The sequence below is a fragment of the Homo sapiens genome, chromosome 14 (genome assembly GCF_000001405.40).
Source record: "Homo sapiens chromosome 14, GRCh38.p14 Primary Assembly".
Taxonomy (NCBI): Eukaryota; Metazoa; Chordata; class Mammalia; order Primates; family Hominidae; genus Homo; species Homo sapiens.
Genome location: NC_000014.9, coordinates 46,863,905 through 46,887,769, shown reverse-complemented (window position 1 = coordinate 46,887,769; position 23,865 = coordinate 46,863,905). Strand labels below are relative to the sequence as shown.

Below are 23,865 nucleotides of genomic sequence, written 5' to 3'. Positions count from 1 at the left end.
ATCTAAAATTAAGAGACAGTAAAAGTGTCATCATTTATATTATGTTATAGTATTTTAACCTACCAAACTAATAGAAGCTTCATAATACCTAGTATTAACTATGCATGCTTATCTGAAAGATAAGTGCTTTCTGTGGAATTAGGATTTTTATCCTTCACCACTGTATGTAAATTCAGTGACTGTATGCAGTTTTCACTGAAATAACTTTGATTTTCTGCCGTACTCCTTGGAGGCCAGTTAAAAATACATTGTATGCTGGCGTTTAATTTCATCATATTTTTATCAAGTTAATGACCAGACATAGTGTATTATAACTAAATATATAAGGGCTCTGGTAAAAACAATTAAGGGAGCAGTATATTCAGGGAAAACAAAGGAGGAAGTGATACCAAAAAGAGTCATTTTGGGTCTAACCACATTCTGAAGCTGCCACTTAAAAGAGTTACCTTAACCTGTCTCTGCCTCAGTTTTTTCATTCATGAAATAGGGCTAAATATAGTTACTACCTGCTAGGGTTTGTGGGATATTACATATAATGATAGGTATAAGACAGTTAAAATAGTGGCACATGGTAAAGACTAATAGATGTATTTTTTTTCTTAATTTTCTGAGCTGAAAATACAAGTTAGGAAGTTATCAATGTAGAGATATTAGAAGAAGCTACTAATAGTAATGAGGTGGTTTAGCAGGACTAATCTGTGCCTCACTAAATGTAGCCTCTGGATTATTTGTGTCCAAATTACTATGTGGGAGAGGAGATGCTTTTTAAAGATCGTATTTTTAGATCTCATTGAACCATAATTGCTGATGGTTGAGACTTAGAATTTTGGTTAACAGTGTCATCTAGTGATTCTCATGCATGCAGAAATATGAGAACCACTAATACAGAGTACCACAAACGCCATATACAAAATTCTGGAGAACATCAACATTTAGAACACAGGAAAAGAAAATAAGGAGTAGCCAAAGATGCTGATGTGGGAAGCAATATGAGAGAGAGCACTGTCATAGAATTCAAGGGGGAAAGAGTTTTAAGAAAATTCAGAATTCCTTCTCTCTCTTATTCTCTAATTCTCTTTATTAAAAACAGAGAAACATTTCAGGCCTACACAAAATAACATAATCATAATTTTTACATCTACCATTAATCTAAAACAAAACAAAACAAAACAAAAATCACCTGGTAGAGTTGAAGTCCTTTCTTTACCCCTCACAACTGCATCATCATCTCTTGCACTCTCCTAACCTATTTAAACAGTATCTTCAACTCAGTGTTTATTATTTCTCTTCATTTCTTTATTCTTTAATATGTACATAGCTATACATCCTCTTTAAAATGCATAGTTTAAAACTAAATTTTATAACATATCTACTTCAAAATTAATTTTAGTTCAATATTTTGTGAAAATTTTCCATGTTGATGTATGTTGCATAGGTTCCTTTTTCATGCTATATTTTATATTCCAGTTTATGAAGAGTCTACAATTTCATTATCACCTCTTAAACGATTGAGGTATAGATCATTTTCCATTTTCTATGCGATGAATATACTTGTTTCCAAGTATAAGAATTTATCTGTTCTCATTGTAACATGGCTTTTAATGCAAATTACTCTCCAAACTTATACCAATTTGCATTTTCATCAAGGACACATGTTTGAAAGACAATTTTTCATGGATTGCTTATATTTCTTTGTGTCTTGTGCCCAGAGGCACCAGTTGCCCTTTTATTACAACCTGTCTTTTCGAGTCATTAGCATAGCAAACGTCTTTTGAATGTAGTGTCTTCTTCTGGAACAGAGGGGAGGTTTGTTTGATGTCCTGTGATGTCTCCTTTCTGGGCAATGGTTGGACACATTTGGTTACTATCAGTTATAAAGACTAAGGTTTCTTAAACTCAGAGTCCTTCAGATGTGACGCACAATCAAGGCATGTGCAGCGTCCTCCTTGGCACATCTGCAGTACTTCTGTGGAACTTCAGAGGTAAGGAGGATCAATGCTAAAATAAAGCTTGGGATTTATGCTGAGTCATGAGTCATTTTCTCTGACCAAGTAGTCTCCAGTCTTCTGCTAATATTCATGATATTGTGGCAGGCTAACTTGTTAGCTTATACGTAGGATAAAAATCTCATTTGTTTCCCACCCCAATCCTCTGGTTCTGACATGCACAAAGATTCTCATTGTTTTACATCTATACAAAGCCCTAATAGTTAATCTTTAAAAAGTTTCTGCCTACTTGATGGTGGAAAATAAAGTTGTGGTTTTAATTTCCATTTCCTTGATTCATTGTGAGGCTAAGCCTCTTCTTTAGTTACTTACTTATTTGGATTTCCTCATCTATGAATTACTTGTTGTTATTTGGCTCAATTTGCTACTGAATTCTTTTCCTTGTTATCAAAATGAGTTTTTAATAAAGTCTAGTTAATTGTGTATATTAACATGTGTATAATATCTTCTTCAAACCTCTGGCTTGTATTTTTCCTGTTTAATGGTGAATACTGATGAGAACAAATTTTTTAACTTGAAAGTTTATATTTAATTAATTTTAAATTTGGTAGACAAATTTCTCAATCTTTTTCTTCATGATTCATCCTTCCCTATTCTGTTTAAGAAAGCAATATATTGGCCAGGCACGGTGACTTACGCCTGTAATCCCAGCACTTCAGGAGGCTGAGTTGGGTGATCACTTGAGGTCAAGAGTTTGAGACCAGCCTGGCCAACATGGTGTAACCCTGTCTCTACTAAAAATACAAAAAATTAGCCAGGCGTGGTTGTGGATGCCTGTAATTCCATTTACTCAGGGGGCCGAGGCAGGAGAATTGCTTGAATCCTGGAGGCGGAGGTTGCAGTGAGCCGAGATAGCATCATTGTACTCCAGCCTAGGTGACAGAGCGAGACTGTCTCAGAAAAAAAACAAAAAAGAAAGTAATGTATTACCTGAGATCATAATAACATTTTTTCTGTATTTTTCCTAACTGATTTAAATTGTATGTTTTAAATTTAATTGTTTAATACTCCTGAGACTGAATTTTATGTATAAGATATAAGGTTCCAATTCAAGTGGTTTTTTTCCATATGCATAACCAATTGAATGGTATATATTTTTCTCTCTTCTGTGCAGACACTCTATATATTTTATATTTGGGCTTTCTTCCCATGCCATTATTTAATTTGTCATTTGTGTAGGACTGTGCTGTAGCACACATATTGTAGTTTTTATTTCCAGAAATGTAGCAGTCAAGACTGTATAATTAGGACTAACTTAACCTTCAGAAAACAAATACTTATGAACATATAGTATGTGCATATATGTGAACATATGTGCATATTATGTGATATGTGTATGTGTGTGTACCTGTGCATATAATGTGTACATGTGTATGTGTGTGTACATAGAGAAAGTACTACGTAAAAATCCAAGGGAAAATGGCATTCAAAAGTAACAGAATTTCTGCCCAAACTACTTTTGCCCTCAGCTGTTTGCCAACCCAGACAAACTTGAACTTTGATTCTTAATAGTTTGGCACCATTGAGGCAGACAGCAATGAAAACTCAAGGCCTTCTCAAAGCAAGGGATCTTCTCCACTCTAATTTGTGACACCAAAGAGTTTCACAATCAAAGTAAAAGTAGGCCATGTTGTTGATGACCTTAGGAGCATGTCAGAAACAATGGTACATCTATACAGAATATGTCTTTGTCATAGGCCACAGATAACCCCCAATAATAGAATTTTAAGCCATATTATCAGCACCAGTGAAAAATAACCAAGCAAATAAAAGGAGAAAAGCCCCATGAAAAAGGATACCATAGATTTCAGCTAAGAAAAATATCAGACACATATTACAAGGCAATGATGCATACTATATGTTTAGATACATATAGAAAGAGGACTGTATTTGTCATATATATATATCTGAATTAAGGAGAATAAAAAAATCTGTCACAATTGTATAAGCCAGCAAAATATTAATAGCTTAAAAGTTACAATTTACAATAGCAAACAAAGCTGTGGATTACCTGTTATCTCATCTAATAAATTATATGCATACATTTAATAAAGAAAGCTTCAAAGTGCTTGTAAAAGACATTCAAGTGTATATGCATATGGAAGGATAGAGTGAGAGAAAAGGAAAGAGAGAGATTCCTACGTAGACAACTCTATAGATCTATTTTGGTTTTGTTTTTCCAATTATTATACACTTTATTGTTACTAAAGTACAATTTTAAATAATGTTGAGCATTCTCACTTGTAATTCTAAAAAAATTTCTAATATATAAGCATTAAAAATAAAGCATCCTCTACCTTTTTGTTGGATCTTCTTTATCAGATTAATCAAGTTCCCTTTCATTCCTAGCATGTTCATAGTTTTATTATAAATAGGAGTTGATGTTTCCCAAATTTTTCTCCATCTAGTAGAAATATGTTTTTTCTTCTTTTGCCAGTTAACTATGTTAACACATTTTCTAATGTTAAGCAATTCTTGCATCCTTGCAAGAGAAACAATACTGGATGTAAAACTTGATGAATTTGATAACAGTACTGTATGATGAATTTGGAAACAATATTGTATGTTAAAACTTTATGAATTCGGTTTGTATACATAAGTTTTTCTTTCTTGTACCATCCTTTTTGGTTTAAATTAAATAACATAGCTGGAGAGTTATTGTTTTTCTTTTTAAAAATATCTGCAAGATTTTGTAAAAGATTAGAATTCTTTCCTGAACATTTTGATAACTGTGCTGTGAAATTATCTGAGCATTGTGATTTTTTAGTGAGGGAAGCATTGTGAAACTCATTCTTCTTTTAACATATTACAATCACACTTTCATCTTCATTACTCTGACACCATTTATTTCAAGGAGACCATCGCTTCCATCTTGCCAAATCCCATGGTAAATTCCTACCCTTCATCTTAACTTCCTAACATTCTTCTTATGGAGATGTCCTCTGATTTAACTAAAGAGTGCCCCTTTCCAGCCTTCCCACTATGACTTTCAATCTCCTTGTGATTTTTTATTTTTCTCTATTGTACATATGACTAACTGAAATTTTATATTATACATTTGTTTATTGTGCCTCTCTTTTTAATAAACTTGAAAAGTTAAGGATTTGTCTTTGTTTTATACTTTTAATGCCCATAATATATGGGAACAGTTATATATGCAATGCATATGTTTGCTAATGTGATAGAGTTGTAAGTATTCAAGAATCTCGTATGCCATTAATATGTTAAGCAAGAAGTAGCTAAACTTTGATCTCTCCCGACTTCAAGATCAGAGACACTTTGGAATTTTCTGACTCTTACTAAACATTAGATGATATATTAAATCTATTAAATACCTCTGATCATTTGGCAATTACCTGCAAACATATGCATGCAAACATCTCAAAATTTGTTTATCATTATAGAAACTTGAACTTTAATAATACGTATTCATTAATATACGTACTTTTTGATTTAATAAAATTTCAAAATTTGTTTTCAATTTTCTTAGTACCTCTGAAGAACATACTGGGAACATTATTCTATTATTGTTTTGATTTCAGGCTGGACAGCAGCGCTGGTGGGAGCAGGAGATTAAAATAAATGGGAATATTCAAAAGGGAGAATTAATTACATATAACTTGACAGAGCTAATTAAACCAGAAGCTTATGAAGTCCGACTGACTCCTCTCACCAAATTTGGTGAAGGAGATTCAACAATTCGTGTGATCAAATATAGTGGTAAGTAGCCTTTCATTTAAAATTATTTATTTATATATTTAACTATATGGAAAATTTTGGTTGCTGCTATCTACCAAATTTAGACACAAAGTAAAACTTAGCATATTGACTTTCTGGATCATTAGCCAGTTAACTAAACAAAAAAACAAAAACAAAAACCTTAATCACCATAAATGTGACATTTGATTACAAATGTAGAGATATAGAATAATTTAGTTAATTGTGAACCTATGTGATATAAGCAATGTTTCTTTATTTTTGATCCTACAAGTTATAATACAATATTTGTCTGCATTTTATCTTTTCAAATTCTTGATGACTTTAAAACTTTTTAAGAAGTAAAAAAAGATCAAAATTCATTTTCTGTTTTTTAAATAAAATTAATAGATTTCAGTTTTTGAGCAGTTTAAGGTTTACAGAAAATTGGCAGGAAGTATACAGAGCCCCGTCTCCCTGACACAGTATCCCCATTATTAACGTCTTACATTATTGTGGTACATTGGTAAAAATTGATTAACAACTACTAAGAAATTATTATTAAAATCAGTATTATACATTACAGTTATTTGTGTTGTGCAGTTATATGGATTTTGACAAGTGTATATAATTTCTCCACCATTACAGTATCACACAGAATAGTTTCACTGCCTGAAAAGTTCCCATGCTCTACCCATTTATCTCTCCTTTCTCCAGTCCGGGCAACCAATGATATGTTTACTCTGTCTATAGTTTCTCCTTTTCGAGAATGTTGTAAATTTGGAATCATACAGCATGTAGTGCTTTTTAGACTGCCTTATTTCACTTAGAAATACATAAGATTTCTGTATGCCTTTTTGGGACTTCATAGCACATTTCTTTTTATCATTGAATAATCTCCATTGCATAAATGTACCAGTTTATTTATATACATATCAAAAGACATCTTAGTTGCCGGATTTTGGTCTTGGTTGTTGGTGGCCATTCATTTTTCATATTGCTAATGTTAAAAAATGCTAAATGTTTGTGTGTGTGTGTGTGTGTGTGTGTGTGTGTGTTAGTGATAGTTTTCTTTTTATTAACTATATGCATAAAATATTTCTTCACTACTTAAATGTCCTATTTGGAGAAAAATAGAAATTAGTGCAGAACTTTGAAAAAGTTAAAAGTGGATCTAAAACTTTTATCTAGAATTAATATCTCAAAGAGAAACAATGGCAATTAGATATATTTATTCTTTCTTTTTTTTTTTTTTTTTTTTTTTGGAGACGGGATTTTGCTTTTGTTGCCCAGGCTGGAGTGCAATGCCGCAATCTTGGCTCACCGCAACCTCCACCTCCTGGGTACAAGCAATTATCCTGCTTCAGCCTCCCGAGTAGCTGGGATTACAGGCATGTGCCACCATGCCCTACTAATTTTGTATTTTTAGTACAGAAGGGGTTTTTCCATGTTGGTCAGGCTGGTCTCGAACTCCCGACCTCAGGTGATCCACCTGCCTCGGCCTCCCAAAGTGCTAGATTACAGGCATGAGCCACTGCACTCAGCCTAGATATGTTATTTTACTGTATACTAAAGAGATAAATATTTCAAAAATTGAAATTTGTGTGCATTTTAGAATTTTAATATTCAGTGTTAGCTGTAGAATTTTCAATGTATTTCAGGTTTGAATGAATCATTATTTAAACAGTTCATATTTATTGTATTGCTTCAGTAGAATATTATTATTACTATATATATATTTTTGAGATGGAGTCTCACTCTGTCTCCCAGGCTGGAGTGCAGTGGCATGATCTCAACTCACTGCAACCTCCGCCTCTTGAGTTCAAGTGAATCTCCTGCCTCAGCCTCCCCAGTAGCTGGTATTACATGCACTTGCCACCACGCCCAGCTAATGTTTGTATGTTTAGTAGAGAGGGGGTTTCTCCATGGGCAGCCTGGTCTCAAACTTCTGACCTCAGGTGATCCACCCACTTCAGCCTCCCAAAGTGCTTGGATTACGGGCATGAGCCACAGCACCCGGCCAAACGTGATTCTTTTTATCACTGATTATCAGAGCCTGAGTTAAAAAGATAATAGAATGCTTTGTTTGCAGCTGAAGTACTCCATTGTGTTTACCCTTAAGTATACGTTTCCTGCTTAAGGGGAAAGTAGTGAATACTGTCAAACGTGAAATATGAAGTAAAACTATTAACAACTCATTAAAGTTGTTTGTACTTACAGTTTTTACCAAATAAATAAGATGTATAATGTAGAGTGCATTAATATCAATATCTTTAAAAGATGAAGATATTCGGACCCAGAAAGTTTCAGTGTCCTGCAAAGTTAAATGACTGTGAAATGACAAACCTGACTAGAATTAGGGTTCACCACTCCATTAGAGAAGATCTTTACTTCTTTGCTAAAGTTAATTGATCATTATGACTTTCCTTAAGAGATTTTAAAAAGTTAATTAGCTTAGTAGTGGTTATTGAAAACTCTGAGGCAACAAACTAAAATGAAAAACACATGCAGGAAATAGATATTACTTTTAATAATAAGTTTTCAAAATTGTTTTTACATACTTAGGCATACATATTCAGATCTCCAACATTTTTATTAAAATTATTTTTATGTGATATAGGTTTGGGCAATGTATACTTTAATGGTTTAGAGGCAATGTATTAGTCTGTTTGGGCTGCCATAACAAAATACCATAGTGGGAGGCTTAAACAACACAAACTTATTTCTCACACTTTTAGAGGCTGAGAAGTCCAAGATCAAAGCACTGGCATAGTTAGCTTCTGGTGAGAGCTCTCTTCCTAATTTATAGATGGTCACTTTTTCACCATGTCTTCTTCACATGGCAGAGAGAGCTCTCTGGTGTCTCCTCCTCCTCTTATAAGGACACCAATCCCATTGGATTGGGGCCAAGATTAATTTAATCTTAATTACCTCCCTAAAGGATTTATCCCCAAATACAATCACATTGGGGATTAGGCATTGACATATGCATTTTTATGGGGACACAATTGTCTATAATATGCATTTATAAAAAAATTATACATGCAAGTTCAAATGAAAGAAGAAAAAACTGGACTCGCTGAACTATTTAGAAGTTTGTGCAAATTTTCACAAAGTTAACTGCATTATGTATAGTGAATTTGGTGAATTAAATGTTGGAGGCAAAGTCTCAATTAAAATTCAGTCTGGTAAGAGCTTTACATGTACATACAACATATCTTAGAACTAAGTTATAATTCAAGGACGCTTACATCTTTGAAAGATAGCACATAATTTTTTAAGAATTTCATATTAACTATGAAATAATTTTAATTTTTACTAATTTTAAAATTAAAATACATGGATATCTTGCCAAAAAATTAAATTGTTATTTTTAGTTCACTTTCAGTTCCTTTTCTGTTATTCTTTTCATAATTTGCAATGTGGAATGTAGAATCAGAAAAACAACTACAGTAATGGGAATTGTCTTCTGTATGTAGGAATAGTGGAAATCATTGAAAAAGTTACTCTGTTAAAATTTATCATTTGTATACTAATGTTGCAATTATATATGAATATTTTTGCCCGTCAGAGTTTATTACTGTTGCACAAATTTAACAAAAGTGGTTAATGACAACCACTAAGAAAATGACAAATCAGATAAGTTCTGCACTGTAAATTAACTGCCAATTGTAATCCTGGGAAACTACATTCTGCCCATTGTAATCTTGGGGAATTACATCAATGCTGTCCTTCATCCAGATTGGAATATTTTCTCAGAGTGATAAGTGGTTAATTGATATATACAGATACAAATTTGGCCCTTAGATGAGAGATATTTTTGTTGTTGTGTTAGTAATATTTAAAGTATTCATTTCTCTTTGGGTGGAAATTCATTGGCACTTGTATTGCAAATATAATTAGTTTTAGGGGAAAAAAAATTCTTTTGGTACCCCAGAACAGAAAATGTATTGCTCATCATTTTAAAATTCTGTGTGCATGCACACGTGTATATGTATGTGTATATTTTACTGTAATTAAACAAAAAGGCATTGATGTAGCTATTCATTTTAGTACACATATTACAACATGATATCAGGATTGCTTTATTTTCATCTGTGCCATGAACTTTCTACTTTACTCTCAGTAGAAGTAGAAAACAGCAAAAAACAAAAGTGGAAACTCTGCTAGATAATTGTTTTCATTTTTAAATCACCTAGATTATAGATTGGCCTAGTTTCAGCCTCAGTTTTGATATCTGAGTATTTTTGTTTAGCACTAGTTCAGATATTTAAGAGGTCAGAAACTCTATACCTTGAAAAGGGAACATTTCCTGTGCTATTTAGCATTGGTCTTTTTGGTAATTTGAGGCTGTTATTGCTGAGCTCCAAAGCAGATTATATTCAATCCTCTAAAACAAAATGGATTGCAGATATAAATCTCAATGGCCACAGTGGGAAAGATCATTAAGTTTTGGTAAGGAACTATGAGACACTGATTAGACTTTTATTTATAAAAGACATTCAAGCCATGCTAACATTGTTTTTTTGTTTGTTTGTTTCTTTTGCTTTTCTTGTAGCTCCTGTAAATCCTCATTTGAGTAAGTATATTTTAACTTACAAAATGGCACTATATTTAATAAATACAAAAATATAATGTTTATAAATATACAAAAATTGTTTAGTAACTATTCTTAGTTGGTTTAAAACACAATTGTTCAGAATCAGTAAAATTGGCATTAAATGTAGATTTTAAATTTCAAAGGATAGGAGTATAAATACAATTTTTTAATACTGATAATTGAGGTTTATAGATTTTCCTAAATATTGAAATATGGAGCCATTTACCAACCTGCTTAATATTTGCTATTTCTGCAGCTGTGGGATTATTTTTTTCTTTTGTGGGATTGCATATCATTTTTATCGTTGTTACACGTTTCTTTGATTTTCCTTCTTTGAATGTCTATATTCCACTTATAAAAGAGTATGGTTACTTAGAAAGTTGGTATTTGATGGGTTTAATTGAGACTTTCTTTTATAGAACACTAGTTTACACTCCAATGTATTTGGTCTAATTTAGGTTATGAATTCTATAAAATTGTTAAATTTGGGGACTTCTGGAAAGTTTTTATTTTGTTTTATATTAAATGTTATAAGATGATATGTATCTACCTGAAAAATATTCCCATATATGAAAACTTCTCTCTCCCTGGAAAATAATATTAAATCAACAGAGGATTTACTATGAAGACATATTCTAAAATCAGAGCTATTTATTTGTAATTTAAGGTTAGATTTCTTACAAGTTTAAGGACTAAAGAGCATCGTCTCTGGGTGCAAAAGGACCACTGGGTATCAGGATTCTTGTTCCTGAGTTTTTTTTTGTTTTGTTTTTTCATCATATTGAGAAGGATTCAGGGAAAATTCTGCAGACCAAATAAAGCAAAATTTTGAAGACCACGTAATGGAGAATATTTAAGATATGTTTAATTATTTCTATGTAGCCCCAGAAACTCTGCTAAAATCATGTTGTAATTAGAAAACCAGTGGAAAATTCAAGATCCACTTGATTCTCAGTTCTATATCTTTGTGAAAATCCTGGACTTTATTACTTATTTATACTTATTACTCTTTTAGTATTTTATATTACATTGACTTTTGAAAAGTTTGTACAGCTCATTGCGTTATCATTATCTATCAGATATTCTTTATTCTAATAAACTTTTTAAATGAATAAATGTATTTGCACATATTTATAATTGTCTCTTTTTAAAGTGACAGGACTATCATAAAATTCTTGGGTTTTGACTAGTGAGTTTTATTTTCATTTTACCTGCCAACTTTTTATAAATTTTCTTCAGTAATAGGCTTATTTATTGTAAAGATATATGTCCTTAGAAGGAATCGAGAGCTATTGATGTTGCTTAAGTATCTTTGTTTGATTTGAATTATTACACTAGTTATAATATTATAAACAACTTACACCATATAAAATAACCTAAACGATGAAAAATTTTAGGCACAACTGACATTTTTTGTAGTTTTCATAAGCTGCATTATTGCTTAATTTTACTATGAAAGACTTAAATATTTAGGTCTCAAAAATTATTGTATAGATTTTTAAAGACAAGATATTTTCTCTTTTTAACCAAGTTTAAATTACGAAAAAAAGGTTCAACAGTGTTATAAAAATTCATTATACATAATTTTAAATAACATATAAAAAGTAAGACTTGGCAGTAGATACATAAACTGAAATCCTTTATCTTTACATTTGTTCTGTGACTCTTTTTTGTGCATATGTAATATATAATTAAATAACTGAAAACATTCAAAATCAAACATTGCCTTTATGGTATTCAAACCGCCAGAGTAGCAACTAATGGAATTTCATGTCATACCTAAAATATCTTTAAAGAAATACGTGCATGTATGTAAATGCATACACTGCTACACTGCTGTTACCAACATTATTTTTCCAACTGATAGCATCAAAAGGTCATGTCTTGTTTGGTACAAGGTCTGTGACATAAATATGTGTCTAATAAATATTTTATGTACAATAATGTTTATTCAGAAATTTATTGAGTTATTTATTTAGACTCCCTTAAATATGTATATTTCCTGTAACATTACCTACCCAGAATATAGAATATAAATAAATACAAAGAGATAAAGCAAGTGTTTCGTCTAAAAAACAAAAACAAAACATAAACTCATTCCCTAAATTTAAAGGAAAAGCCTTCTGTTTTATTTTTATTTGTAAGTACCAAAAATTTTCAATTAATTCAGGTACATGATCTCAACCAGGACTCCATTTCCAAGGATATCTGATAAATCTAACCCCTTATGGGTAGGTCGGAGAGAGACTAAAATGGAAGTCTCTGTTCTTTAAGTGTTTATATCTCTATGAATTCCAGGGAATTTGGATTCCATTTGACATTATCATTTAATAGCTGACCTTTGCCAAAGTTTTCTCCTCTGTAAAGCCTCATGAGTAAGGATTATTGTGATTTCACAGAGTTGTTATGAGGCTGAGTGAAATAATATACATTATGTTTATTCTTTCTCAAGGATACACACTCTTTAATAATGTGTCTAGTGGACCTTACCAACTTATTTATACCTATTTTTTTCAAGCAGTAAGAAAACCTTTGATACCTAGAAACATTACTACTACCACCCACATTTCAGGGATAGTTGAAAAAGTCTTTCTCTGAACTTGTGTTGGCCCTGAACTCAACATACGTTAGGCATCCGAGAAATCACAGTCCTTCAAAGTCTTTAAAAGGTCTTTTAATTACTTCATTTCCATACTGAAGTTCAAGTATCTGGGAAACCCACATTCAGATAAAGTAGGAAGGATAAATACTTTTCAAAATAATTTGCTATTAGCTTGCCCTAAACACACTTCCATTTATGCAAATGGATATTTAAAAGCATCTCTAGACATGCATGAAAAATTATAAACTTAAAGTATACCAATTTAAAACTACCCTCAGGTAAATTAATAAAGGTAATTTTCCAATTGACAGTTTTGTTTTGATTGTTTCTATACTGACAAAATGAAAGTTGGGAAAATTCTTCAGCAATAATTCAAGCATAAATTATATTCTTTAATTTCAGTTATCTGGATATTTTAGAGAAAAATTGTTTGAGTCTTAATTATTCAATAAGATATTAATTTACATGTAAAATTCTTTTACTTTTTCATTAAAATTAGATTGGTTTTATGTTTAGTTGTAATCTTCTGCACCATTATGGCTCTCATGCCATTGTCACAATCTTGCATTATTATTGCTATGTAATATTTTACATTTTTCTTATGAAAATATTGCAGTATGTGTATTAATTTAATTAATATTAATTTAATTAAAATTTACCAACAGGAGAATTTCATTGTGGATTTGAAGATGGTAATATTTGTTTGTTCACTCAAGATGATACAGATAATTTTGACTGGACAAAGCAAAGTACAGCAACAAGAAATACAAAATATACTCCTAATACAGGACCTAATGCTGACCGTAGTGGCTCCAAAGAAGGTATGGGGGTATGACCTTTTGTGTTCATAGCAATCAGAGACTTTTAAAAACTGCTATAAATATGAAATACTAATATTTAGCCATATATTTGAAGATTATGGAATAAAATATTAAATTTTCTGTACAGTATCAATTTAGATATTTACAAAACTTTGTAGACATTAATTTTTTCTCAGACTTCACTGATACATATAGTAGAGAGAATAGGAATTTTTTGATAATTCAAGTCTAAATTTCAACTTTTTATACATTTTATCTTTAATTTGGTAGATCATTTATTCTTTGTGTTACAGCCACTATTAGTTACATATACACATAGAGATTTTATAAATGAGATGCAAATCTTCCTATCCATCTTTATTTTGTATGAAAACTATAAGACTTCTCAGTGATTTGAAATTTCATTATGCCTAAGAATAATGTGTTTAAACACTTTATTTTGTCTGTTTTAAGGTTTTTATATGTACATTGAGACATCACGACCCAGATTGGAAGGCGAAAAGGCTCGACTTCTCAGCCCTGTTTTCAGCATAGCTCCCAAAAACCCTTATGGACCCACAAACACTGCATATTGTTTCAGCTTCTTTTATCACATGTATGGACAACATATAGGTGAGATAGCAATAATTACTGATTCTTACAAAATTAATGATAACTAAGAAGAAAAAGGTTCATAAACACACAGCATTAAAACAATTTTTGGTCAAAGAATGCTATAATTCACTTTTTAAATGATTTATCTGCAAATTGCAAAATAAGATAGTAAGAATTTTTTCCCACCATCTAATTTAGATTTGGAATTTGACATTTTAGATCATCACCTACCTCCCTTTGGAATCCTAAATCAGGTAGACAATCAATGAGTTAAATTCTTTACCAGGTCTCATGGAATTGACACAGCATAATTTAGGCTGCTTCTTTCCGAAGAAACATGCTTCGACAGTGACTGAATGCATATTAATCATGATGAAAAGTAATATTGTCATGTTGCTATATTGACAGTTATTTTTAGCACCATCCACATATTTGAAACGTTGGTGTGATTTTTTTCATGTTTTTAAAGTATGCCAAACACACCCAGTAAGATTTAAGAACATTCTAGGTCCTGCACAGCATACAAAGATAAAGACACATTTCCTTCCCTTGAGACCTTGTACAGTAATAGAGGATAAGATCAGATGCACAACTGTGCTAGATAGAGCATGACATTACACTGAGAGTAGACCTAGTAAACTCTGTGGGGAAAAAGATCATGCAGGTCTACCATTCTTTATGTGCAATTCTAAAATCCTGAGAACTGAATATCAATTTTTAAAATTTAATTATTTGACATTACATGTTAGCCTGATATATAACCTGAACTGATATGAACCTATGTATAGTCTCTATCCAAATGAATGTGGACATTTATACCATTTGCAGCAAAAATATTACTGTTTTTAATAATATGATTCTACTCGAGACCATTCCAGAAGATATCACATGATATAAGTGATATAATCTCTCACCTTTCTAACATAAGACAAAATTCTAAATAATGAAGTATATCTAACCCCATAGAGCTTGAACCAGGGATTGTGGATCTTTATCTAGTTGAGGAATGAGTCACTGCATCAATACAAACAAGAACATTTCTCTGGTATGCAAAAGAGGTATGTTTTCAATACGCAGAGATTAGCACAGGGAGGGTTAAAGCACTGGTAATAAGGAAGTAAAATTTGAGAAGTTAGGATTACATTAGTGTCTTTATATAAATTAATAAAGTGATAGTATAAATATATGTGATGTAAACTAATACAATTGGACACATAATATGTATCAGCCACCATATTATTTAAGCTAAGTAATACTCTCAATTAAGTTTGTAAAAGTGAACGTCACTGTCCATCTTTTACCGTGGAGAAAACTGAACCTCAAGAAGTTTGTGTGAACTGCCAAGTAAATGGTTGTGCTGGGATTCAAACTCATACCCAACAGTATTAACTAGTATTCTTCACAGTATACTGACAAGCCTAAATGGATAGCACTTGGGTTTTTTTGTTTTGTTTTATAATTTATTTTTATTTTTATTTTTTATGAGACAGGCTCTTGCTATGTTGCCCAGGCTGGTCTCAAGGAATCTTCCCACCTTCGCCTCTCAAAATGCTGGGATTACAGGCATGAGTCATTGTGCCCAGCCAGAAAGCTTTTGAGAAGTTAAACTACTATAAACTTGAAGTCAGGAGACCTGGGCAGGAACTTGGCTGTAGCACTTCATCACTGTAATACTTCAGAGAAATCACTTAAAATGTCTGAACCTTGGTTTCCTTATCTGTAAAATGAGAATAATAACTCTTATTTCAGAAAGCTGTAGTTTAAGTTAAATTAGGCAACATACATAGTATCTTCAACCAGATGGCAGACACTCATAATCTTAGGTTACTTTGAATCTGAAATAGCAATAATAATAGCAATAATAAAATAATAGTTGACATTTATGGAGTACTCATCATGGGCTAGGATACTTTGTGGATTATTTCTCTTAATTTTCACGATCAACATTTGTGCTTATTAAAATCATTATCCTGTTTCATAGATAACAAAATTGAAATACAAAGGACTTTAGTTACCATGCCCATCACCTGGCTAAGTAGTGAAGCCATAACACAAACATGGGAAGCTGGACAGAGTCTGCCTGTTTTATTACTGTGCAGGAACACTTGTTGGAAGATTTTGCAAGCCTAGCTAAGTATGTGACAGTTACTTAGTAGTGGTGTGAGTTATTAGATTTTCTGCAATCAAAAAGCATAATGAGATATTTGATTTAGGAAAATAAACATAAAAATAGGTAAAATCATTCAGAAACAGAATCTAGACTGGGAATCACTTAAAGAACCAATGAAAGGAAACAAATCGCATAATTGCCAAGCCATTTTATTTATTGTGGGATTACTATATTATTACTAATGTAGGATTAGCTCAACTCTAATTCTTCCTTTTTGTTAATAATGTATACTCTGTTTCCTCTTTGTTTTGAATATGTGTCATGTACTTTCTTTCTCCTCTTCCAATTTACATTGGATCACATATTTTAATTGATTTTTAAATAAATATTTCCAAGACCAATATTCTGAATTACTTAAAGTCATAAAATATGTTCACCTTATTTATGAGACTAGATTTTAGGGCTTTACTTTAAAATAATTTTAAGATACTTTAAAAATACTTTTAATACATCATTATAATATACTTTTAACTTAATAGTTGTTAGTCTTATCTTCTTTATTGTCAATGGATGTCCAGTTGACGTTCTGCTAGTTTTATTCTGATTATTTTGGGATGAGGGAAAATTAGGAGGACAGTTCTCCATTTCTTGGCAAACATTTACATTTTGACCCCTATGTCATTTCTTTGCTTCATCAGACTGAAGGTTGCAGGCTGGGTATCAGGTCTATTACTTGAGTTCCTCTCAGCAAGCTGCAGGCATGCTGCTTACTAAAATCTAGGCAAAAATACCTGGTCCAGACATTGAGTAATCAGTTAAAGCTAGATGAGATAGTTCATTAGAGAGATCTGCTGGTAGTTAAAACATCCCCTCTTTGCATATATTATTTTCGGACTTTCATTCATCTGTAAACTCAGGAGGCATTTATAGCCACTGGTTTTACAAATTGTATTTTCAGTTTTAGTCATTCTTTTGGAAATCCAGATTCAAAGATGCCTTGTCCTGAATTTCTAATAGCCTAATTAAATTTATAACTTCATGAGTAATTGTAAATAAATCTTGAACTTTTAACTGTGACTAAAGGACAGTATACCATTGAGAAGGTTCATAATTATCTAATACAGAAATGAGCAATACCCTACTAAGAAAAGAGATTCCTCTTTGAACTAAAGTTAAATATGTTGCATTACTTATTATTTGCAATATAACAAATTTCCCCAAACTTTTGTGACTTAAAACAACAAATATTTATTATCTCACAGTTGCTGTGGGTCAATACAAGTATAGCTCAACTGAGTGCCTTTGGCTCAAAGTCTCTCCTAAGGTTATAGTCCTTCCAGAAAAGGACTCCACCATAATTTGAAGACTCAGTTTGGGGAGGATACACTTCCAAGCCCACTTGCTTGATTTTTGGCAGGCTTTGCTCCCTTAAGATATTGGACTATAGATACTGATTTCTTGCTGGCTGTTGATTGGAGGCCTCCCTCAATTCCTCACCATGTGGACATCTCTACAGGGCTGTCGCATAACATGGCAGCAGGCTTTCTTCAAAGCAAGTAATCCATTAAGAAGAGAGAGAGAATGCATGCCCAGGATTTTTCATAACCTAACCCCTGAAGTGATATCCCATATGTCTGTCTGGTTCCATTTAATGTGACTGAGTTGATAATTCAAGCCCATACCCAAGGGGAGAGAAATGCCCAAGAGTGTTCATGCTAGGACCTAGGTTGAGTTGAGCTCTGCCACATTGGTACAATTTCTTTTTAGTTAAATGTTTCATCAAAATTGATTGAAGAAAAAAACATGTTTCCAAATGAAAACTATAATGTTATCCTTAAAGTACCTGCTGATTTATATGTAAGTGATACAACATCTGGCCATGATAATAATAAAAGATTCTTTCAGCATTCCTGTGACTACTAATGGACATTTCAATTCTCGATGAATCCACTGAATTTCTAATGTTCTTGCAAAAAAAAAAAAAAAAAAGAATCTCATAGGAGATCACTAGATATGACAAAAGTGTATTAAAAATAAGTTAAATGCATCATTCATTTCTTTAAAAAAAGAATGTGCAATGTAAAGGTCATATCATATCAGGAAATTAAGGCACTTATGAATACATTCATTGTACTTGATACGAATGGTTCAATAAAGTTGTGTCTCTAGAAAGCTAATTCCACTATGGAGTAAACAGGGGGAAAGCAAAGGAGTTCATTAATGAAGAAGCAGGAGACTGTAAAAGAACTGATAAATAGAGATGTGGGATTGTAGAAGGGCTTATTTTAAGAGGAAAAAGAGGTAATAAAAAGGGTAAGCTTAGATGGGAATTTAGAGCTCTGGCTGTGGAATGAGACTTTTAAGAGAGAAACTGATGCCATTTCCACTAAAGCGGTAAAAAAAAGAATTCAGTATTAATAGTAACATGGCTTCTGATAGATTTCTAGCTGCAATAACAGCAAGCTGACATGGAAGTTGCCTTCCTAACAGTCTCCATTTTCTCTGCAAAACAGATACAGAGGTACATGTTCAAAGAGGAGATAGCTTTAGGAGAGTGGTAAATGGGAGCACAAAGTAACTGACAATATAGAGACAGCTGGAGAGGTTGGAGATGAGGACATCAATCTGTAGGTTTCTGAAACGCATTTTGGAATATAATGGCCAGTTTGAGTCCCCATCTGTGCGTAGTACTGCATTTCGCTTGCTAACTGATTTTCTTGCTGTCTTTTTTAAAAAGTCCATAGCTTCCAGGGTAAAGATCTTTCTCTAAAAGCAGTAACAGGACCTCAAGGATATATGCCCCTCTGGCTTTTCCTTGGGGTAGCTTCATAGTCTGTTCCAGTCATACTTGAAGTTTTTCGGGTAAAGCTCTCTTGTGCCTGAAGCCTCTTCACAGGCTGTCTCTTTTGTCCTGCTGAACTGTAGGCTTGATGGGAGTAGAAATGATGTCTCTTCTGATGACACCCTGCCCTGCATGTAAATATTCAAGTACTCCCCCAAAAAAATTAATAAATATTTGTTTATCTAATTGAATAAGTACTTTTTCTCCTGTTTAATCATCTAAGTCATGCATAACCTTCCTTAAAAAAGCAATTCAGGGATATATGCTGAAATTCTTTCCTATCTTCTCTGCTCCTTTTGTTCCCAAAACTCCTGATATGTATACCTATCATAATGTTTATCACACTGACCCCTGTAAAATTGTAAACTCCTTGAGAGCAGTAACCATGATTTATTTACATTTGATTCTCGGAAACAACATTTACACAATAGATTTAAAGAATGATCCAAACTAGATTCTTTTGCTTCTGGATATACTAGAATAACAAAACAAGGGAATTGAAAGTATGCAGTTTAGTTTGGAAATAGAAGGTAGTTTCATTAAGACATTATAGATTGTAAAAAAAAAAACAGACAGAAGATGAAGTTTATTATTGACTTAACTTGAATTTTCATCTATATGCTCTGGCAACTAAAGTAAAAAGAAAAGCAAAAGTGTCACATATTCTTAACAATTAATGCAAAGAGAAATGCATATTATAAAAGTACACTTGAGTAATGTTACCAGCAATATCTTTACTTACTAAGATATTCATATAAAGGATAAAGATATAAAACTTGTTCAAATAAAAATTTAATATATTGATAAACCATAATACAGGATAAAATAACATTTTTGTTTTCAGCTGAAATATTAAGGACCAGGTATGTCACCTTATGATGATCTAACTTAATGTAGAGAAGGAATGTAAAGAATCTGAAATTAACTAATCATTAAGTTTCTCTTTTTTTATTATTATTATACTTTAAGTTTTAGGGTACATGTGCACAATGTGCAGGTTAGTTACATATGTATACATGTGCCATGCTGGTGCGCTGCACCCACTAACTCGTCATCTAGCATTAGGTATATCTCCCAGTGCTATACCTCCCCTCTCCCCCCACCCCACAACAGTCCCCAGAGTGTGATGTTCCCCTTGCTGTGTCCATGTGATCTCATTGTTCAATTCCCACCTATGAGTGAGAATATGCGGTGTTTGGTTTTTTGTTCTTGCGATAGTTTACTGAGAATGATGATTTCCAATTTCATCCATGTCCTTACAAAGTACATGAACTCATCATTTTTTATGGCTGCATAGTATTCCATGGTGTATGTGTGCCACATTTTCTTAATCCAGTCTATCATTGTTGGACATTTGGGTTGGTTCCAAGTCTTTGCTGTTGTGAAAAGTGCCACAATAAACATACATGTGCATGCGTCTTTATAGCAGCATGATTTATAGTCCTTTGAGTATATACCCAGTAATGGGATGGCTGGGTCAAATGGTATTTCTAGTTCTAGATCCCTGAGGAATCGCCACACTGACTTCCACAATGGTTGAACTAGTTTACAGTCCCACCAACAGTGTAAAAGTGTTCCTATTTCTCCACATCCTCTCCAGCATCTGTTGTTTTCTGACTTTTTAATGATTGCCATTCTAACTGGTGCGAGATGGTATCTGATTGTGGTTTTGATTTGCATTTCTCTGATGGCCAGTGATGGTGAGCATTTTTTCATGTGTTTTTTGGCTGCATAAATGTCTTCTTTTGAGAAGTGTCTGTTCATGTCCTTCGCCCACTTTCTGATGGGGTTGTTTTTTTTTTTCTTGTAAATTTGTTTGAGTTCATTGTAGATTCTGGATATTAGCCCTTTGTCAGATGAGTAGGTTGCAAAAATTTTCTCCCATTTTGTAGGTTGCCTGTTCACTCTGGTGGTAGTTTCTTCTGCTGTGCAGAAGCTCTTTAGTTTAATTAGATCCCATTTGTCAATTTTGGCTTTGGTTGCCATTGCTTTCAGTGTTTTAGACATGAAGTCCTTGCCCAGCCTATGTCCTGAATGGTAATGCCTAGGTTTTCTTCTAGGGTTTTTATGGTTTTAGGTCTAACGTTTAAGTCTTTAATCCATCTTTAATTGATTTTTGTATAAGGTGTAAGGAAGGAATCCAGTTTCAGCTTTCTACATATGGCTAGCCAGTTTTCCCAGCACCATTTATTAAATAGGGAATCCTTTCCCCATTGCTTGTTTTTCTCAGGTTTGTCAAAGATCAGATAGTTGTGGATATGTGGCATTATTTCTGAGGGCTCTGTTCTGTTCCATTGATCTATATCTCTGTTTTGGTACCAGTACCATGCTGTTTTGGTTACTGTAGCCTTGAAGTATAGTTTGAAGTCAGGTAGTGTGATGCCTCCAGCTTTGTTCTTTTGGCTTAGGATTGACTTGGTGATGCGGGCTCTTTTTTGGTTCCATATGAACTTTAAAGTAGTTTTTTCCAATTCTGTGAAGAAAGTCATTGGTAGCTTGATGGGGATGGCATTGAATCTATAAATTACCTTGGGCAGTATGGCCATTTTCATGATATTGATTCTTCCTACCCATGAGCATGGAATGTTCTTCCATTTGTTTGTATCCTCTTTTATTTCATTGAGCAGTGGTTTGTAGTTCTCCTTGAAGAGGTCCTTCACATCCCTTGTAAGTTGGATTGCTAGGTATTTTATTCTCTTTGAAGCAATTGTGAATGGGAGTTCACTCATGATTTGGCTCTCTGTTCATCTGTTATTGGTGTATAAGAATGCTTGTGATTTTTGTACATCGATTTTGTATCCTGAGACTTTGCTGAAGTTGCTTATCAGCTTCAGGAGATTTTGGGCTGAGACAATGGGGTTTTCTAGATATACAATCATGTCGTCTGCAAACAGGGACAATTTGACTTCCTCTTTTCCTAATTGAATACCCTTTATTTCCTTCTCCTGCCTAATTGCCCTGGCCAGAACTTCCAACACTATGTTGAATAGGACTGGTGAGAGAGGGCATCCCTGTCTTGTGCCAGTTTTCAAAGGGAATGTTTCCAGTTTTTGCCCATTCAGTATGATATTGGCTGTGGGTTTGTCATAGATAGCTCTTATTATTTTGAGATACGTCCCATCAATACCTAATTGATTGAGAGTTTTTAGCATGAAGCGTTGTTGAATTTTGTCAAAGGCCTTTTCTGCATCTATTGAGATAATCATGTGGATTAATCAAGAGTTTTGCAAGAATGGATTAATGCTTTCTAACAGATATGCTGGCATTCAAGGATTTTAAACTAGGAACTTAAATATTTTTATACAAGATATTGAGAAAGCAAAGATGGTATTTTGCATGATTTTATGAGTTTGATTTTTATTCTCATTTTGGTCAAAGACTGTATTTCTTCTGATTAGAATTCAAAATGTCAAGATTCTTGCTTACATATCAAATATATTCTCAAATAGGAAATCAGCTCACATATTGGGATTTTTTTTCCCTTGGAGTTAAACGCCATATGAGAAAGAATGTTAAGATAAGGAGCCATTATTTTAAAGCCTTGATTTCACTGACTCTAGGAGAATCTCAGTGGAATAAATATAAAATATTAAGGTACTTGCATTCTGATAAATTCTCAGAATTAAGTTCCTTGAAGAAGACAACTCTTAGGTGGCTGAGGGGATAGATAAGGCTCCTTAGTGTTCTCCATTTAGATATTAGGGAATAACTACCAAACTGTGAGCTGTTTGATAATAGTTGATATTAAGTCACGCTTTCTGTTAAGAATTAGTCTATGCTCTCAGTGAAGTCCTGTTGGTATTTAATGCTGATAATGCCAATGCTGTAAATGTGAAAATAATGCTATAGATGGAAGACATTCATTCAGTAAACTGCTTTTTTTTTTTTTTTTTTTGACACAGGGTTACAACAAACCTTTAATTTGTAAAAAAAAAAAAAAAAAAAAAAAAAAACAGCAATATCTGCAAAGCGCAACAAAACAAGATATGTCAGTATTTGTGTGTTTACAACTCTCAATTTGGAGTCTAGTACATCCTTTTACAGAAAGCAATAAAAACCAGACTTATAGGAACTAAAATGTAAAGAACTAAAATGTAAAGACATAAAAATAAGGCAAAATAATTAAGTTAGAATGTTTGAAGTATTAGATTGACTAAGCATCACTTCTAGTTTTGTAAGTCAACATTATTTAGAAATAATTTACATATAACAAAAGGTACAAATTTTAAGTGAAGTGTGATGAGTTTTGACAAATGCATACACTCATTTAACCACCCTCACATCAATGCATACAATATTTCTACCATTCCAAAACTTTTCTGTCCCTTTCTCCAATCTCCTCCCACCACTCTCACCCTAGGGAAGCACTGGACTGTTTTAACACTATTAATTAGCTTTGGCTTTTCACTGTTGTGGGGTGGGGGGTGGGGGGAGGGGGGAGGGATAGCATCGGGAGATATACCTAATGCTAGATGACGAGTTAGTGGGTGCAGCGCACCAGCATGGCACATGTATACATATGTAACTGCTTTGTTAAATGAGATGAATTTAAAATTGAGGAGGTGGATAGAATCTAGCCATGACTTATGACAAT

At 32.9% G+C, this 23,865-nt stretch overlaps 1 protein-coding gene across 8 annotated transcripts in view, besides 1 other annotated feature; it reads left to right on the top strand.

Annotated features, from left to right (window-relative positions):
* MDGA2 (MAM domain containing glycosylphosphatidylinositol anchor 2) overlaps positions 1-23,865 on the top strand; it is an 835,983-nt gene that overhangs the window by 787,836 nt on the left and 24,282 nt on the right. For all 8 annotated transcript variants that reach the window (XM_011536519.3, NM_182830.4, XM_047431048.1 and 5 more), the window contains 4 exons: positions 5,549-5,726; positions 10,261-10,281; positions 13,570-13,725; positions 14,179-14,337. In XM_011536519.3, coding sequence (XP_011534821.1) covers positions 5,549-5,726; positions 10,261-10,281; positions 13,570-13,725; positions 14,179-14,337 — 514 coding nt within the window. The remainder of the gene's footprint in view (positions 1-5,548; positions 5,727-10,260; positions 10,282-13,569; positions 13,726-14,178; positions 14,338-23,865) is intronic.
* Positions 1,128-2,327: an enhancer, noted in NCBI's record as "MED14-independent group 3 enhancer chr14:47354646-47355845 (GRCh37/hg19 assembly coordinates)". NCBI's record gives its function as "activates an origin of replication core promoter dependent on BRD2, BRD4, P300/CBP and CDK7 cofactors, and independent of MED14, by STARR-seq in HCT116 cells {active_cell/tissue: HCT116}" and the evidence as "EXISTENCE:reporter gene assay evidence [ECO:0000049][PMID:35650434]".